Source organism: Homo sapiens, chromosome 8, assembly GCF_000001405.40.
Source record: "Homo sapiens chromosome 8, GRCh38.p14 Primary Assembly".
Lineage (NCBI taxonomy): Eukaryota > Metazoa > Chordata > Mammalia > Primates > Hominidae > Homo > Homo sapiens.
In genome coordinates this window covers 29,163,323-29,182,921 of record NC_000008.11, presented here as the reverse complement: position 1 = coordinate 29,182,921, position 19,599 = coordinate 29,163,323, and the positions used below count along the sequence as shown (strand labels likewise).

Sequence of the window (19,599 nt, the reverse complement as noted above, 5' to 3'; positions counted from 1 at the left end):
ATATCCATCACCTCACACACTTACCATTTTTTTTGTGGTGCAGACATTTAAAGTCTGTCTACTCTCAGCAATTTTGAAATACACATTATGTTGCTGACTATAGTCACCATGCTGTGCAGTAGATCTCAAGAACTTACTCCTCCTAACAGAAACTTTGTACCCTTATTTTTTGGTTTATTCTTAATATTTTTGGTTTATATTATTATTCTTAATATTTTTGGTTTATATTATTAAGTATGCTATCTGTGCTCTACATTTTTCTCAGATGTCCTTTATTGGGTTTATTAGTTCCTTCTTTGCTAAGAGGGGTTTTCTTTTAAAAAAAAAAAAACTTAATGAATATTTAATTTTAATTTTATTGAATCTTTTTTCATGCGTTTATTGAAATGATCATACTTCCCTCCTCCGCCCCCTTAGGCTGTCAATGTGATTAAAGCGCATGGCTCTTTTTTCCAATGGTGGATAGCCTAGAAGCCCTGAGATAAGCCCAGTTTTGTATTTTGAAATCATTGGATTCAGTTTACTGTCTTTGGTTTGTCTTTCTTCATGACTGAGACTGGTCTGTAGTTTTCCTTTCTCGCACAGTTAACATTTACTGAGTTTCTGCTCTTTGTACCACATTCTCTGTAAGACAAATAGATTGTTCATATTTATTTGACTCTGCATTCTTTGTAGTAAGTAAATAGGCATCCCACAATATACCCTTTTGAGTGATGTGATATTTAATCACATTATGAAGTTTTCTTCGCAGTGAAGATTTTAAAGTTTGGTTTAAATTCTTCTGGGATCAAGTCAGTTGGTTTTACTTATTTGGGGTCTTTCTTGGATTCATTGTATATTTTTATGGAGCAGAGCTGAGTCCTTTTTAAAAATAGGCTATTGTTAAAAAATCATTTCTTTGTTTTTCATGAACAGAAGCCGTCAGACGTTGAAAGTCAGAGAGCATAGTGTGTTGGGACCTTATGTCGACGGACTTTCTAAACTGGCTGTCACAAGCTACAAGGTAACAACATCCTGTATGTGAACTATTTAAATTTAGTGTAGTAGGGTGGGGCTCTTTTTTTTCTTGGCTTAATTTGTTATTTTTAAAAATTGCATATATAATAGCATCACTTAATAAATCACTTTACAAAAATCCTAAAAATGAGATAGTTGATCACAGACAAGCGAATAAATATAGACTAAATAGGATGAGGCTTTTAAATGAAAAGTTATCAGACTTAGTGAATCTAAAGTGGGTTTGGAATCAATCTAGAAAATTGTGAATTTTATCTTTTGTTGTTGTTTTCCCATTCTGGGGCCTACTTATACTTCCTTTTGCAGTTAATGTTTTTACTTTGAGGCTTTTTATGTATCATGGTGAATTTTTTTGTAAACATTCTTCTTCTAATAGAAAATTGTGATTTTCAGTTTTTGATGATGTGTGTCAGGTAGGATTGTGTTCAGTTGCACCTAACATTAAAAAAATGTATCAGAGTTATTTGAAACATGGATTATTATCTGTTTTGTCCATTATATATTCTCAGTGTCTGAAAAGTACCTGTCCTATGGTAGGTGCTTTCAGTATACATTTGAAAGTGTGAATGAATGGTGATTGAAACAAGGCTTTTCATGGAAAAGAAATATGGAGGTAGACTCTCCAGGGCTGGTATGGTGGCCCCAAATGTGTTATTAGGGACCTAGATTCCTTCCAGTGGTCAACACAGAGAGGTGTGGTAATGTCCTTATTCCCATAGTTCAAGATGGCTCTTAGAACCAACACGAGATAGCATGCCTACACCCTTAAGGAGAATTCCCAGATGGCGTATTTTAATTTTAAATCTTATTCACTAAAATGTCATGAGGCCAGAGTGAGCTGCAAGGGCATCTGGGAAATGTAGTCTCTTAGCTCGGCCATATGTGCCAAGTTGAAGATTGGGCTGCCCTACTGGAAAGAAGTGAAGACTGGGTAATGGGAAGCATCTAGTCGACTTTTGCACATACATTTTTCTCACTCCTCATTAAGATCCTTGTAAGGCAGATGGGTGTCATAGCTCTGCATTGTTATTAATGCAGTTAAAATCCAGGTTGGTTAACTGTTTTAGAGCTTATAACATTAAAAAAAAAAAAGAAAATCCCTTGACCTTCCTATTGTATTTTGTTGTTTCTCTTTTTTAGTAGTAGTAGCAACCAAGTGGTAAATCAATGCAGAAAATTAGTCTCTTGAGGTTCTCATTTTTAAAACCAGGTCTGCTAAGATAGTGGTAGTCGGTGATATGCCTGTATGAAGCGACAAATGGCACAAGTTATTTAAGTTATTTGTGTTGCTTATTTGTATAATCTAATTTAACAATAAATTTGTATTGCTTCTGTATTAAAGAAACTACGTTTTTTCAAATTTCTATATTAGATGAGGGTTGGTGTGGCATACTTGTTCATCTTGTGTGACCAAAGGTGTAGCTTCTGAACTTTGAGTCAAGGCTGCCACCTCTGTACCTGTAGCAAATGATGTACTTTGAAAGTTTTCAGAGACAGTATTGGCTATTGTACTCCATGGGGCTCAATATTCATTGAGAAACAAAATGTTAACTCCAAATGTTGTTGACTAAGTAGCAAAACTTGCAATGAATTTTGTAGTATAGCAGGATTTTAGTGTGTATTACACAAGTAATGAAACGTGGGTCTATGACTTGTTTCCACTTAGGATATTGAGTCGTTGATGTCTGAGGGTAACAAATCTCGCACAGTTGCTGCAACCAACATGAACGAGGAGAGTAGCCGATCCCATGCAGTTTTCAAAATCACCCTCACACATACTCTCTACGATGTGAAGTCTGGGGTAGGTGTTCAGATGCATGACCTGTTTTTATATTTCTAAAGTGGATTGTGGTTTTATTTTTTTCCTCTTCAGGTGTTAGATGAATTAAAGTCCTGGCTAGACTTGTGTATCAATGAGGACTCTGGACGAGAAACAGAAGCTCCTCTAGGTCAATAGAAAGGGATGTCATGTAGGGAAGCAGGTCATTCCAGGGTTGTTGGGACATCTGAGGAGGACCAGGTTCTAGACTGCCTCTCGAGGAATAACTTTCTGAACAGCACACATCTGGCTCCCGGGGTGGTGACACCTCTGAGGACACCTCTAGAACTCTGTGTTCCAGGCATACCCATAGCTGTGATCCAGGAAGCAGGAATAGAGAAGTTGCTTCTGTCCATGCTGCTGCCTCGTAGCACCCTGGAACCTGGAGAATGTGCTTGCATTTCCCCAGTCCCGCTGCCAGCAGAAAGAGCCAGAAAGGGGCAGCAGGCAGCCTCTGCTCTGCTTTTGCGTTCCAGCCTCTAGCAGGTGTATCCTGAGCCTGGGTGGCCAGGGAGTCTGAGAAATGTGGGTTTAAGCTTCCTGCCCACTCCCACTAAAGGAAGGTGGAGCAGAAGTTAAGTGCACCGATGGCCCACTGTCTGCCCCAGCAGTTTTTGAGTTTTAAACTGTGACGGCTAACTGCGTGAGCCAATGGTAATGCTCTCGCTTGCCCAGGCACTGTGCCTCACACCTGTAATCCCAGCACTTCGGGAGGCCAAGGCGGGAGGATTGCTTGAGCCCAGGAGTTGGAGAACAGCCTGGTAACATAATGAGACTCCATTTCTACAGAATATTTGAAAATTAGCAAGGTGTGGGTGGTTCATGCCCATAGACCTAGTGACTAGGGAGGCTGAGGTGGGAGGATTGGTTGAGCCCAGGAGCTTGAGACTGCAGTGAGCTATGATTGCCCCACTGCCCTGGGCAACAGAGCAAGACTCTGTCTCAAAAAAAAAAAAATTCTAGCTGATTTAGCAGAGGTTCTTTTGCAGTGTTGCCTTCTGTGAAACACTATTAGAAGGAATAAATGACACTGGGGCAATTGTACTATAAAATCACTTGCTTTTGTGGAATAACTTTTTGAGTGTTTGGTTTTGAATCTAGTGAAGAGTAAACCCAGTCAGAGATAAACATGCTTCTGCTGCATTGCAAACTTCTCTGTTGCCTAGTATATTTGCGTTTTCCCTCTTTTTATGTGAATTTTACATATTTTATTATGATGCCTACCCCCTAGTGTGTCCATTTTAAATACCAGAAGGTAAAATAATCACCCTGGCAAAGTGCTATATTTTGGCAGGATTTTCATCTGCTGAAAGCATATTTTTCTCCTTTTACCATCACAGCAAGATTAGTGTAACAACAAAAAGTTCTTTGTTTCTTATTTCCTTTTCAGCATAAAACAAAAAACATACTGAAGACTTTTTTTTTTTTTTTTTAACTAAAAGTACTTTTGATTTGGGACACTGAATAACCTTTTGTTAACAGCATGTTTATTTATGGAAATAAATGTCTATTTTAAAGGAAAGCTTTAAAAATGATTCAGTCTATAGATTTTGGTGTTGGTTTCCTACATTCCTTATATTGCTATTGAAGTACGAAGTATGTTACATGTATGTGCTTGATAAGAAAACACTTTTGATAAAGATATCTATGTATCTGTATGTATATAATATCTTAATTAGAAAAAGATGTAAATCTAATAACACCTGACATGAAATGGAATTATATATGAATAAGATGTAAATGTTACAAAATGTTTTGAGATTTTGAGGGGTTCTTCTGTTGTATAAAGGTCAGATTTTTTTTTTATGTCAGAATTGCAAGTGTTTTGTCTCAGGATTATTGATAAATATCCATGAAATTTTAAACACAGTTTCCAATAATAATAAAATTTGAGTCTTATAAGTACTTTTGTATACTGCTCTGAAAATTTCATTGGGCACCCTTCAAAATGGCCCATTTTGGAGGCACTGTTTTCCTGAGATAATTAGCTTTCATCCTGGCTGGATTAGTAGAGTTTTATAAATTTTCTGTGTCTCCACCGTTAGATTGTACAGTTTTCTTACAGTGTGTTATAGCAGCACAAAATAATTTTGAAGTAACAGTAAATACTTTTAATAAAGGGTTTAGATCATAACCCATTTGGTTGTGACAGAACTGCTTTTTGTATTGTTTTTTAAGAGACAGGGTCTCACTGTGTCGCTCAGGTTGGAATGCAGAGGTGCAATCATAGCTCACTGTAGCCTGGAACTTCTGGGCTCAAGTGATCTCCCACCTCAGTTTCCCAAGTAGCTGGGACTACAGGCACACGCCACCATGGCCAGCTATTTTTATTTATTTTTATTTTTTTGTGGAGACAGGATTTTGCTGTGTTGCCCAGGCTGTTTTTGAAATCCTGGGCTCAGGTGATCCTCCTTCCTTGTCCTCCCAAAGTGCTGGGATTACTGGCATGAGCCACCACACCTGGCCCTGTGTTCCTGTTGATTAGTATTGATTGATTTCCTTTGTAGACATCTGGAGAGAAAGTGGGCAAACTCAGCCTGGTGGATTTAGCTGGCAGTGAACGAGCAACGAAGACAGGCGCTGCAGGGGACAGGCTGAAGGAAGGGAGCAACATTAACAAGTAAGTGCTCTCAAAGCTTATTTTTATTGCTTTATTTATTTAATAGCCAATAGGGGAACATCTGTGGTTATTAAAATATTAAGGTGATTTGAAATTTTTTTCTGGTATTTTCAATGGGCCTGGGCCCATTTTAGGTTTTGTTGAGATGCCTGATGGGGCTGAAGAGCACAGCCTCAGTCAGGTCAGAGTTTCTCAGCAGTGGCCCTATTGCTGTTTTGGGTCAGGTAATTCTTTTCATGGGAGGGGTGATGCTGTGCTTTGTAGAGTGTCTAGCCGCATCCCTGGCTTCTCCCCACTAGATGGCGATAGTAGCTGCCGCCTCTTCCCCCACCCCCAGGTGTGTCAACCCAAACTCACTTTCAACAACCATGGCTGTTCCCTGTGGGGGCATAGTCACCCTCCAGTTGAGAACCACTGGTCTAAGCTATAGAGAGGATCAAAGCTAATTGGTCTCTCAGAGTGGAACTGTTGATCTTGACCTGTGTGTTGCTCTTTGGACAAACTTGTACTAACCACGTTGAGCTTTTCCTTTACTAAACACTGTCATGCTTGTCCAAGTCCAAGAAGCTAAGACTTTACGAAGTAATATTTTGTTTACCAGTTCCTTCATGTGGGCTCATTTTAGGTTTTGTTGAGGTGCTTGATGGGGCTGAAGAGCACAGCCTCAGTCAGGTCAGGGTTTCTCAGCAGTGGCCCTATTGCTGTTTTGGGTCAGGTAATTCTTTTCATGGGAGGGGTGATCCTGTGCTACGAATAATACGAAGTAATATTTTGTTTATCAGTTCCTTCATATGGACTTCACATTTTCTCCCTCAAGCCAAATTGTTAGCTCATTATGGGTAGGAAGTTTTTCTGTCCTTGGCTCCCAGAAGGACACATAGGAGTCATAAAGAAACCAAATGGAGATGATAAAACACTGTCACCCAGATGCTATCCTATTATTGAATCTCATATATACAATTTTTGCTTTGTACTATGGTTTAATTATTGTGTTTCTGGCTTCCTTTCTTAAAGATACATGGTTTTGGTGTTATATTGACCTGAAGATTTATAGCTCACATTTTTATGTACTACAAAATATTAGGCTAAGCATTTTTATTGCTTATAGTAGTATTGGGGGAAAATAACTATTTTGAGTTGTGTGCTTTTGAACTGAGCGGCAAAATGCTGACAGGGTGCTGCTCACATGCAGGTACAAGGGCATCTTAGTGTTCAATCTTTGTGCTAAAATGTGACATTTGATATATTTCATTTTTGTAATTATTTTGGTTTGTTGCACCATGCAGGTCCCTCACAACCCTCGGTCTGGTTATCTCAGCTCTTGCAGATCAGAGTGCTGGCAAAAACAAGAATAAATTTGTTCCATATCGTGACTCAGTTCTCACTTGGCTGCTCAAAGTAAGTTTGTTTTTTTTCCCTTCCTGGCATACTTTTGGTGGTTGGCAAGAAGGAAGAAAAAAGAGTAGACTGTTAATCCCTTCCAGGTATCATTTCCTCTATCGGTGTGCAAATGTATAATTATTAGGCTCTTATGGTAATGACATTTTTGATGGAATAAACGTAGGTTTTTTCCTAGCAATTCACATCCTAGCTTACTAGAACCTGGATGCAGTGGGGTTGCTGGACGCACACGGAATCACACGATTGCTTCTGGAGATTTAGGGGAGTAGAGAAAGGGCCTCCTGCTAATCTGACCACTGTGTGAGTCATGGAGGAGGAGCCTCCGCTGGCCTCACACTCAGCTGGGCCACCCTGGCCTTCCACAGACTCCTTTTGTTGGGCTAACATTTTGGAGCTTGTTTTCTGTTTAACTTTGGGACAGTCAGACCTTGGTTTCTGTTTAGCTTTACTCATGATGCCTTTAATTTGCTTTTGGCTTCTTAAAGATGTTGTTAGAGGCTGCAGAGTAGAGCACACAGTCATTCATTCATTCATTGATTGATTCAGTATGAACAAGAGCAATGGAAGTGAGAAAGAAGAAAGCCAATGTGCGGTGGTAGGAGAAGAACGTAGCCTCCATTTTAAAACAGAGGAAAACAGAGGGCGCTTCTTGCCCTCTCTGGCTCGTAAGGGAGATAAGATGTGCACACACAATATTAGAACATGAGTTTGTGATAGATCCATGACAGAGATGGTGATAACATGTAATAGGAGTCTGGTGAAAAAAGAGAGACTTATTTCCAGCTTCCTCTAGCCTTCCAGAGCCCCTTTAGTCTTCATAAGGTGGTGTGGTGAGTTGGATATCGGACTGGGAATTAGAGGGTATAAGTTGCAGTGACAATTTAACCCATTTATAGAGGTGTCACCTCACTAAATCCTTTAATACTCTTTTTTTTCTATTTTTAAAATGGAGAAATAATTTTATGTGCCCTGTTTAATTTTGTGATGTTTTATTTTCTTATTGATCAAGAATTTGTTGAACACCTGGCATGCGTTGCATTAGGGGTTGAAAATACTAAGATGAGTTCAACACGGGCCGCCCCAGTAGCTTAGTAGAGGACATAGTTACTGATTTAGTCCATAGCATGTTTAGAAAAAGGCCTTTGTGAAATGAAGTAGGGGTTTCTTCTGGTTTCCTCCTCCTCTCAAGAGTTAACTAGTATTCAACTTTTTAATTCAAAACTCTGCACACTATTTGAATATCTTTTGTTAAAATAAAACATTCTTTACGTAAATGTCAGTGTGTTCTCTCTTAAATGTAATGCTAAAATTCAGTAAATTTTCCACAGTAGAATATCAGGTCCATTACTTCCTTTGGCCAAAATGCAGGACTGTTAGAAATTTAAACAAAAGTGTAAACAAATCATGATAATTAAAACCGCTTGTAAAGGTTCGTCAAACAACCTCACAAACATCAGATAGTAAGAGATAATTATTAGGAACAAAATTAAAACACCTTGGCCCACCATAAAGACAATTCTAACCTTGTCTTTTAAAATAGAACATTATTATTCAGATATTGTTACTTGAATCCTGACGTCAGCTTACATAACTAAATACCTCAAGTGCTTTTACCCTAAAAAAAAAAATTTACTTTTCTTTCCTGTCTCAAACAGCATAAGAACTTCTGCTTCTGTAAGACTAACAAAAATGTTTTGTAGTTTTTTTTCTGTAATTAGAAAAACAAGCAAACTGCAAAATTCAAGACTTTGGAGGATGAATATAATTATTCTTTTTCATAAAAGCCATTAAAATCATAGAGTAAATAGGTTTCTTTAAAAAATTAGTGAACAAACTTGCAGTTATATAGGATATTAAGTCTAGAGATCAAATGGGCAGTCTAAGGACTATAGTTAATAACAGTGTATTGTATATAAAAAAATTTGCTCAAAGTATATTTTAGGTGCTCTTATCACAAAAGATAACCATGTAAGGTGATGGATGCGTTCATTTGTTTGAATGTAGTAATCAATTATATTACTATGTTTACATATATCAAACGTGCTCTATACCTTAAACATATGTATTTAAAAAATTTTTTTTTAAATCGTTTCATTACCAAATGAGTTTTTTTTTTTTTTTTGAGACGGAGCCTCGCTCTGTTGCCCAGGCTGGAGTGTAGTGGCGCAGTCTCGGCTCACTGCAACTTCCACCTCCTGGATCAAGCGATTCTTCTGCCTCAGCCTCCCGAGTAGCTGGGATTACAGGTGCGCACCGCCACACCTGGCTAATTTTTGTATTTTTAGTAGAGACAGGGTTTTGCCATGTTGACCAGGCTGGTCTTGAACTCCTGACCTCAAGTGATCCACCCGCCTCAGCCTCCTGAAGTGCCGGGATTACAGGCATGAGCCACTGCGACTGGCCAGGAATTTGTTTTTTTTAATAGAAGAAGTCTTTTTTTTTTTGGAGACAGGGTCTCTCTGTTGTCCAGGCTAGAGTGCAGTCGTGCAGTCATAACTCACTACAGTCTGGAACTCCTGGACTCAAGTGATCCTCCCACATCAGCCTCCTTTAGTAGTTGGGACTACACCACCATGCCTAGCAATTTTTTTTTTTTTTCAATTTTTAGTAGAGATGAGGTCTTGCTATGTTGCCCAGGCTGGTCTTGAACTCCTGGCCTTGAGCATCCTCCTGCCTCGGCCTCCCAAAGTGCCAGGATTACAGTTGTGAGTCACCATGCCTGGCCTGTAGAAGAAATCTTGATAAGATACTTCTTCTTCAAACTTTCCATAGAAACATTTCCTGATCATATATTGTCCTTGTTTCAGTGTTGCTACTTGAGTCCATTTAAAACAACAAATATCTTTTGTTGGCCGGGCATGGTGGCTAATGCCTATAATCCCAGCACTTTGGGAGGCCTAGGTGGGAGGATCAGCTGAGGTCAGGAGTTCGAGACCAGCTTGGCCAACATGGTGAAATCGCATCTCTACTAAAAATAACAAAATTAGCTGGGTGTGGTGGTGCATGCCTGTAATCCCAGCTACTCGGGAGATTGAGGCAGGAGAATGGCTTGAACCTGGGAGTCGGAGGTTGCAGTGAGCTGATATCATGCCATTGCATTCCAGCCTGGTGACAGAGTAAGACAACCCTCTCAAAAAAAAAAAAAAGCACCAAAAAACAAGAAATATCTTTTGTTAACTTAATCGACATAGTGAAAATGGCACGGGTAATCACTGAGTGGCTTCATTGGCCTGGAGGCCAGGAGCACCTGTTGCAGGAGTATCTGGTGCCATGCCAAGGGCTTCATGGGTATCGTCTCCTTTCCTTCTCAGAAGGGAAAGGGTGGTGTTCCCAGTGGTCAGATGACACAGAGGGTGCAGAACTAATGAATGGCAGGATCGGGATTGGAATCATCGCTGACTTGACTGTGCAGCTGTTTTTGCCAAGGCTGTGCTCTTCTTATCAAAGGTTAATTTTCATTAGAAGGATACTCACTTCATATTACCAGTCCTTGATAGAAAATAATGAAAAAAACTGTTCATAGTACTTGAACTTGAAGAATGAAACCATAACATTTTTTAAAAGGTCACTTAATCTGCTGTTTAGTTAATTTAGGTTATCATTGCAACTTTCATGTATTAAAAATAACTCATGTGTTTGCTGAATATTTGTCATTATCTTTTTCCTTAAAAATGTATGTGATTGGCTGGGCATGGTGGCTCACACCTGTAATCCCTGCACTCTGGGAGGCCGAGGCAGGCGGATCGCCAGGTCAGGAGATCGAGACCATCCTGGCTAACATGGTGAAACCTTGTCTCTACTAAAAAATACAAAAAAATTAGCCAGGCGTGGTGGCGGGCGCCTGTAGTTCCAGCTACTCGGGAGGCTGAGGCAGGAGAATGGTGTGAACCTGGGAGGAGGAGCTTGCAGTGAGCCGAGATCACGCCACTGCACTCCAGCCTGGGCGACGGAGTGAGACTCCATCTCAAAAAAAAAAAAAAAAGAAAAGAAAATATATGTGATCTGGCTGGGCATGGGGCTCACTGAGGCCTGTAATCCTAGCACTTTGGGGGGCCGAGGTGGACAGATCACCTGAGGCCAGGAGTTTGAGACCAGCCTGGCCAACATGGTGAAACCCCATCTCTACTAAAAATACAGAAATGAGCTGGGAGTAGTGGTGTGCACCTGTAATCCCAGTTACCTGGGAGGCTGAGGCAGGAGAATCGATTGTACCCAGGAGGTAGAGGTTGCAGTGAGCCAAGACCATGCCACTGCACTCCAGCCTGGGCGACAGAGTGAGACTCCATCTCAAAAAAAAAAAAAAAAGAAGAAAAAAAAATTATATGATTTTTTTTAACGTCATTTGGACTTCACAGAAGATCGTAAATAGGGGCATTTTTTTTTTTTTTCGCAAAACATGTTCCAGAGCTTAAGCAGTTTTCCCAGAGCTCTCTCCAAATTGGTTGAAATGGAGATCCTTTTCCTTTAAAGTGGGTTTTAGGTCCCTGTTGCTTTTTCCTTCTTAAATTCTTAGTCTGACTCACCCAGATCCTAGTTTGACATGGGCATACTTCCAGTATTCTTCAACATAATTTCCATTGAACTTGTACAATTGCCCATCTTCTATAACATTTTCAGTTTCACAGCGTCTTTTTTTTTCTGCCTCATATTTGCGTTGTAATTGTGTTGTGCTCTTAATGTGTGTAACATCTGAGAATGAGAGAAGCTGTGGCTTTTCTTGGTGATTTGGTCCAGAATAGATGTGAGTGCTCTTCTCCCAGGGAGGATGGAACAACCATTAAATGAGGGTTACGCATTCGCTGAGTCATCACTGGAGAACTATTTCATATTAAGATGATTTTTGGTCCTCTGAATAACCATCTAAATGTGGGCCTCTTAACGTGAAGTAACTTCTGGTAGTGAGTGCTCAGATAATGAGTATCTTTCTAATTCATCTCCCTCTTTTCGTTCCTACTGCCACCTCCCTAATGAAGGCCACTTTTCATCTGTCGCCTGGATGACAGTCGTTTCCCTCGAGCTTTCTTAGTCCAGTCCTTTCTCCATGGTTAGGTTGCAACATCTTTCTACATTAATACTTTTAACCTTCAGTCTTTTCAGTAACTGTCTATAGGCCCTTAGGATAAAGTCCAAGTTCCTTTTTTTTCTTTTTTGTATAAACAGGGTCTCACTATGTTGGCCAGGCTGGTGTTGAACTTCTGGACTCAAGTGATCCTCCTGCCTTGGCCTCCCAAAGTGTTGGGATTACAGGCGTGAGCCGCTGCGCCCAGCCACAGAGTCCAAATTCTTTAATGGCGTGTGACTTACAAGGTCCTTTATGAGCTGACCCCTTTTACTTTTTTTATTGTTCATCTTGTGCTTCTTGGTGTTACAAATTCCAGCTAAGTGATGAGTGTTGTCTTGCCTCTAGGACTTTACTCTTGTTCCACTTGGAACATGCTTTCCCCTCCCATCTCTTCAGTCTCTCCTCCCTCCTCTCCCCTCTCCCTTTACCTGGGTGATGCTTCTCTATCTTTGGGTCTCAAGTGTCACTTTCTGTGAGAGTCTTCCTTAACCTTTCAAGATTTGGCTCTCTGCTGTTTGTTTTAGACCATATTGTATTTATCTCTATCATCTTAGTCCTTGTTATATAGTATTACTTACCAGCATCCTCCCTAGTGGTGAACTCCAGGAAGAGTCGAGTGAATGAGTAATTTCAGCTCTGTTCTGAATCAGCTCTGTGACCTTTGAAAAGTCTGTCGTTTTCCTGGGTCTCACTTTCTCATCTGTAAAATGAAATAATTGGATTATATGTCTTCACAGAGTTCTTTCAGCTTTTAAAAATTCTGACTTCCAAAAGTAAATTCTTTCCTATGACTATTTAATTTGCTGTTGCCACCTTTGAAACAAACCTCATCTGATTTGCCTAAACAGTTAAAGAGTAAACAAGACACTTTCTACTTTCTCCTTGAATGAGTGCCAGTTCTTTTGTTGTGATTTCCTTTTTGCTGATGGCATGAGGTCATTTTTAACATAAGGGTATTGTTGCTCCATGAACAAGGGCTTTTAAAATATCAAGCATTTGTTGTTTGCCAGGTTTCCTTTTCTCAGCATAAATTGGAGCACAATATACATGCTTTTCTCCTTTGGTAGTTATCGTTACAAATCCCCTTTCAGCTGAGAGCATTTGCTGTTCACGTGGGCTGACAGTGTGCAGTGGTTCTCAGAGGACAATGCGATGCTGCCAGTGAACCAAATGGTGATGAGATTGAATTCCTGTGCTTTCGTTATATCACATTTGAATTTCATTCATGTTCATGGGACTCTTCATGAATTTTTTCTGGAAGTTGCCAAATCTGGAGCACCAGCTATGTGAGATTAATGTCTAGGAGTGAAGAGCAAAGCAAACAGTCATGGCTTTTACCTCCTAAAGTCCAAATTAGTTATAGTTCTTCCCATGTCATACATTAAATTATATTTTCTTCAGCAATATAATTATGTTTTCTGTGGAAAACCAAACTTTCACTGGTATATGAATAAGGGACATATTGTCTGTGATCATATTGACCTTTTAGTAACACCTTAGGAATCATTTTGTTTCTGAAACTAGGGCAAGATAATTTGGAAAGATGTCAGGTCACCTTATTTAATCTTCAGGCCTGAACTTTCTCTGTGTTACCAAATGTGTATTGTGGGCAGCTGTGGGGGAGTGGAAATCATGTTGGACTTGAAGGCAGAGTCTAACTGGGCTAGGATATTGTTCAACTTACCAGTTCTAGATTTTTAGGCAGAGTGCAAGATTTAACCTCCATTGTCCGAACAAACCTGTTTTCTCACCGATAAAACCAGGCTCTGTGATAAATCGAACTCACAAAAGGTGGAGACCTAAGTAAAGTGTGTGCACAAAGACTGGGGAAATCACAGATTGTACCAACTCATTTTCATTGTAATAAGATTGGAAAAGCCTTTTATTTTCAAAAGCAGTTTTCCATAGGTTAATGCTGCCCCAAAGTAGAGTTAGCTTTCTTATGCTCTAGTGAGTTTCCCATTACTGGCCCATTGGAGTGTTCCCTCTAATCTTGAGAGTCTGTCATTCAGTGACATTCTGTTCCTAAAAAGAGTATATTCAATCTTTTTGTTTGCTTCGATGATTTGTCTCAGCCTGGGTTGGTATCCTAATATATGAGTAGTTATCTATTGATTGTAACAGATTACCCCCAGAGGAACAGCTGCAAACAAGTCATTTATTGTCTCAGGGTTTCCATAGGTCAGGACTCCGGGTGCGTGTGGCTTAATGACGTGGCTCTAGCCGGGTTGTTTCACATGGATGTAATTAAAGTGTTGGGGATGGGGGGCTGCCGTCATCATCATCTCAAGGCATGACCGGTGTGGGGAGGTGTCTGCTCACTTACATGGTTGTCAGCAGGGTCCAGAAGATCTGCTTCCAAACTCGTGCCTGTGGGCCTCTCTTCGTAGGGCCACCTCACTTCACGGCAGCCCGTTTCCCCCAGAGTGAAAGAAAACACCCAAGACAGAAGCCACCATCTTCTTTGAATCTACCCTTAGAGGTGACATGCCATCACTTTCATTCCTTGGAGACCGATGAATAAGTCCTGGCCACCCTCAAGGGAAGCAGAGAGTACTAGGGTGTGGGCGCCAGGAGGTCGCCTGCATAGGCAGCCTTGTCTGTGGTGCAGCAGAGCGCAGTGGGCTTGATGCCCCAAGTCTTCTTTTGTGCTTGAGTTAAATCTCTATTTTTAATGTTCTCAAGTGAGGGTGGTTTTTCATTCTGTTGGAAGCCAGTCGGTCCTAAAGCCGTTTCACTGTACTTAGCAGTTTGAGTGTCATGAAGACAGTATCTCTTCTCAGGACCATTGTCTGAACGGTGGAAGTGCTTCTGTAGAACTTGCAATCTTAGTAGCTTTTGAAGTGCTATCAGAGCGAAGAAAATGAAGTTGCTTTAACATACTTTTTTGTGAGACTATAATTGTACCTTATGTTTTAAAAACTTTACAAGGTGCTTGATAGCTTGTAACAGCAACTTTCTGAGCCATTATTAGGCTTCACAGAGACTCCCAGTACAGGGGGTTGTGGAGGAGGTTGCCAAGTAAGTATCATGCTTGTTCCTCTAAGGAGGAAGATGTTGGAGGCATTTAAGGAGTCCTTTTTTATTCCGAGTAGTCTGTGTTCTTGTGGTATCATCTTGCCTATAAAATAGGGCAGATGACTTAGAATTAATTTGTGTTAAACCGAAATAAAGGTAGGTTTCATGACATTTCCCCGTCCTTTATCAAAGGCTAAAACTCCCTATTTTTAGTGCAATGGCTTGGCAGAGAAGAAACAGCACAGGACTCGAGTCCATACACCTGCATTTTAGCCCTGGCTCTGTCATTGAATGTGTTTGACCTGGGGAAATTTGTTCACCATTTTTGATTTCAGGTTTCTCATATGACGTCTTCTTCCAACTTTAATATGCTACTCAACTTTCTGTTTTCTCCTGTAGGACAGCCTCGGGGGTAACAGCAAGACCGCCATGGTGGCTACTGTGAGTCCTGCAGCTGATAACTATGATGAAACCCTCTCAACTCTGCGGTATGCAGATCGAGCCAAGCACATTGTAAACCACGCTGTGGTGAATGAGGACCCTAATGCCCGAATTATCCGGGATCTCCGGGAAGAAGTTGAGAAACTCCGGGAGCAGCTGACCAAAGCAGAGGTAGGAGGCACCACCGCGTGCGCCCTGTGAGTCCAGGAAGAGGAATCAGCCTAGAGCTTGAATTTCCTTCCCCTGGGCTGTGAGGGATGAGTACTCTACTTAAAATTTGCGAATTTCTTACAGCAAGAGAACTTTGGGATGAGTAATAAATAAAGGAAGGTTGTCATATTAGAATTCCAAAGAGGTTTTACAGATGTTAAAAAGATTGAACAGGAGCAAATAGAATTGAGAAAATGTTTGCATTTCTATTCAGGCGGCAGACAAAAGAGAGAGGTATAATAGAATAGGAGAGGAAGAGAGATGCTGGAGACCATGTGTATGTAATTTTAATTTTTGTGCAGAAAATGATGGAGAGCAGGATTTTTGTTGAATCTCATTTGTTACCTGGTAGAAGTCGGAATGAAAATCTTGAGTCTTCTACACCTTCATAATCTAGCTTTTCCATGTTGTGGATTAATTACGTTTGTAGAAAATATTTTGTAGTAGAAGTACCCATGTATTTAGTGGTACTCTATTACAGCTGTTTTCTGTGTATTCTGTAATGGATAATGTTGCATTAATAAATTTGAAAACCTACCAACTCTGACCTGCAATCCCAAGTGCTCATCTTCTTGGGAAAGTGGAATGAAATATTAGATTCAGGATTCCTACTTTTTTTTTTTTTTTTTGAGGTGGAGTTTCACTCTTGTTGCCCACGCTGGAGTGCAATGGTGTGATCTCAGCTCACTGCAACCTCTGCCTCCTGGGTTCAAGTGATTCCCCTGCCTCAGCCTCCTGAGTAGCTGGGATTACAGGCGCACGCCACCACGCCCAGCTAATTTTGTAGTTTTTATAGAGACAGGGTTTCTCCATGTTGGTCAGGCTGGTCTTGAACTTGAACTCCTGACCTCAGGTGATACGCCCGCCTCGGCCTCCCAAAGTGCTGGGATTACAGGCGTGAGCCACCGTGCTCGGCCAGGATTCCTACTTTCATTAGCATTTCTCTTCCCACAGTTACTCAGCACTGTGGGGCTCTTTCTGGAGTTTGCTTTCTTTCTCATACCTGTTTTCTGGGAATAAATCAGTAAGAGACATGGTCAGGATGATTATCTTGATCGTATTTTTACCTGTTGAATTTTATCCTGTTTTTATAGGAATAATTTTATAGTCCATGAAGACTGTTGTCTCCTTGGTGTTAATAACACCATCCAGTCTGCAACATGTACACATTTAGTCTGTACATATGTGGATAAATTCCTGAAGTCATCAATAAGGGCTAGAATGAATCATGTGTCTGAGTCTAGATGTATAACCTATTAGGATTTTAAAGATAAACCCTTAGAAGCTTTACATTTTTGCATCCTTAAATGTAATTATATCTTCACAATAGAGTGTCAGAAAAGGAAAAAGCCTTCTTTTTGGGCATATTTTGGATAACTCAATGAGTTTGTGGTCCTCAGACAATCGAGGTACTTCGATCTACAATCGAAGTAGATGTCAGACCTCAGCGTGACATTCAGCCATGAGGAGGCAGATTGTTACTTTTGTCCTTTTAGAGTTGGCCACTTCTTTTTCCAGGGCATCTTCTAGACATTTCATGAAGTAAACATTTTGCTTGTAGGCAATGAAATCTCCAGAGCTAAAGGACCGGCTGGAAGAATCTGAGAAGCTAATCCAGGAAATGACTGTGACCTGGGAGGAGAAATTAAGGAAAACGGAGGAGATTGCACAGGTTCGTGTTTCCTGATGATGAAGCGCATGAAACCTCATGGCAGTTTGCACAATGGGACACATGGTGTTTCTGGTTCCTTTTTGATCTTCAGCTTGGCTGATGGCAAATCTCACACTATCATTAGGAATCTAGATCTGAAAGAATCTATACTTTGCAAAATTAATTTGAAGGATAAACAGGATATAATTGCACTTGATTGTTTATGTAAGAAATAATTTTTTAGTATCAGTAATCTTTAAAAAAAATTTAATGAAATAACTCCTTTGTAGCCCCTGGCTCTTAACACCGCATTCTATTAAGTGCTTTGGAGACCTAAGGAACTTCCTGAAATTACAAAATTACTCCATCTAGTGCATGTGGCCAAGAAAAAAAAATACTGCTAATAGATATTAGGCCATGAACTTCTTGGTTCCATGTGAAAACCCAGTGAAAGTAAGATGAAATTCCTAAATCTGAGGTGACTGTCTCTCACCATTTTCTAGTGACAGTGATAGTTATGAAATCGTAGGGTGGTGGCTGGGTGTGATGGCTCACACATGTAATCCCAGCATTTTGGAAGGCCAAGACAGGTGGATCACCTGAGGTCAGGAGTTTGAGCCCAGCCTGGCTAACATGTCAAAACCCTGTTTCTACCAAAAACACAAAAATTAGCTAGGCGTGGTGGCACACACCTGTAGTCTCAGCTACTTGGGAGGCTGAGGCACAAGAATCGCTTGAACCCGGGAGGTGGAGATTGGAGTGAACTGAGATCGTGCCACTGCACTCCAGCCTGGGTGACAGAGCAAGACTCCATCTAAAAAAAAAAAAAAACACGTTAGGGTAGGAACATTAGAATTCGTCTAGGAAGATCTAGTTAAGTTTAGCATTGGGAGAAAAAGTCTGTCTACCTAATAATAGATTTACACTGTAGCTTTCCTGTTTCATGATTTTCCAACTGTTTTAGAAATACATATGGTAATGTGGAGCTCAGGACCCCATCTAACAGGCTTTTCATAATCAGACAACTCCAGTAGTAGCGATTGAATCAGTCTTTTATTCTTTTACTTCTACTCACTGGCCCTAGTTTGTTCTTTTGTAGCTAAGAGCGTTAAGTGTCCCACCCAAACACAGTAACTGGTGATGGCAGTAACAGCCAGCGTTTATTGGATACACTTATGTATTGAGCCCTATGCTAAGCACTTTTAACTACAGAACTTGATGTAATCCTCTCAGTAGTCTAACAAGATAGGGACTGTTACTACCCAAGTTGTTCATCTATTTAAAGTCATCTCTCTGCCTCTTCCTCTTCCTTTTCTAAGTTAAAATTCCCTGTTGTTTTTAACTGTTCCTTGTATTAGAGAATATATAGAACTTGCTCAATCTGTTTTCACTCAGTAGATTCCATCTTGAAATGTGCTGTCCAGAATCAATCTGTGTATCAGATGTTGTAGGATGATACTGTTGTTACTTAGCATAAAGTGGATGTTATATTAGCACAGACTGGGATTAAAATAGATTTTAAAAACATTTTTATTGCAGACATTTTCAAAGTAGATAAAAATTAGAGAAGAGTATACTAAATCTATAGGTACCCATCACCTGGTTTCATTAAAGATCAGCATATGGCCAGTGTTGTTTTTGTGTCCCTGCATTGGCTTATCTTAAAGCATATCCCTAAAATTATAGAGAAGAGATCAGTGTATAAACTATTTCTCATTACATATCTCCCTGTGTTTTTTATAAATTATAAGTCATTCTAATAATTGTCCCATTTGGAAGCTACTTTGTGTGAGCCATTCTGAGCTGCTCCAACAGTAAACATTTGTTGTCATGAGTCATTGTGCTGATAGAAAACAGGGCAAGTCTAAGTGAGCCTACATCTTGGGGAGCTTAGTGTTGGCACCTTTTCTTTTCCTCTCTCAGGGGTCCCTTCTGGGGGCACTGCCTGATTTTATTCAACAGCTCCTTCAATGCCTTAACCTTCCAGAGCTCCCAGGCTTTAGTGCTGTTGAATGTTTTTCTTTTCTCATTGAAGAAACCTGGTCTCTTGATCACTTACTTCTTCCTAATCCAAACTGATATCTTTCAAAATCTATTTCTGACAGTAGAGCTACAAAGTGTTAATAAGTCTTCTGGAAGATGACTTGAGACATGTCAGTTGACATGGTCCATGGTCAGATAAATTTGGCAATTTCCGGGCAAACTGAATTCAATGAATTTCTTTTTTGAAGGACTTCTCACGTCATTCTGGGGGCAGTTGCAAGTTAGCTGGGTTCTCCATGGGTCCTCTGGGCTCTGTAACATCTTCCTGTGGGGTGCAAGCCCTCGGATGGCCCTACCACAGAATTCTCTGCAGCCTC

At 40.3% G+C, this 19,599-nt stretch overlaps 1 protein-coding gene across 8 annotated transcripts in view; it reads left to right on the top strand.

Moving 5' to 3' along the window:
- KIF13B (kinesin family member 13B) overlaps positions 1–19,599 on the top strand; it is a 196,111-nt gene that overhangs the window by 80,467 nt on the left and 96,045 nt on the right. For all 8 annotated transcript variants that reach the window (XM_011544459.4, XM_005273458.2, NM_015254.4 and 5 more), the window contains 6 exons: positions 916–1,003; positions 2,684–2,818; positions 5,344–5,456; positions 6,743–6,854; positions 15,337–15,549; positions 17,150–17,260. In XM_011544459.4, coding sequence (XP_011542761.1) covers positions 916–1,003; positions 2,684–2,818; positions 5,344–5,456; positions 6,743–6,854; positions 15,337–15,549; positions 17,150–17,260 — 772 coding nt within the window. The remainder of the gene's footprint in view (positions 1–915; positions 1,004–2,683; positions 2,819–5,343; positions 5,457–6,742; positions 6,855–15,336; positions 15,550–17,149; positions 17,261–19,599) is intronic.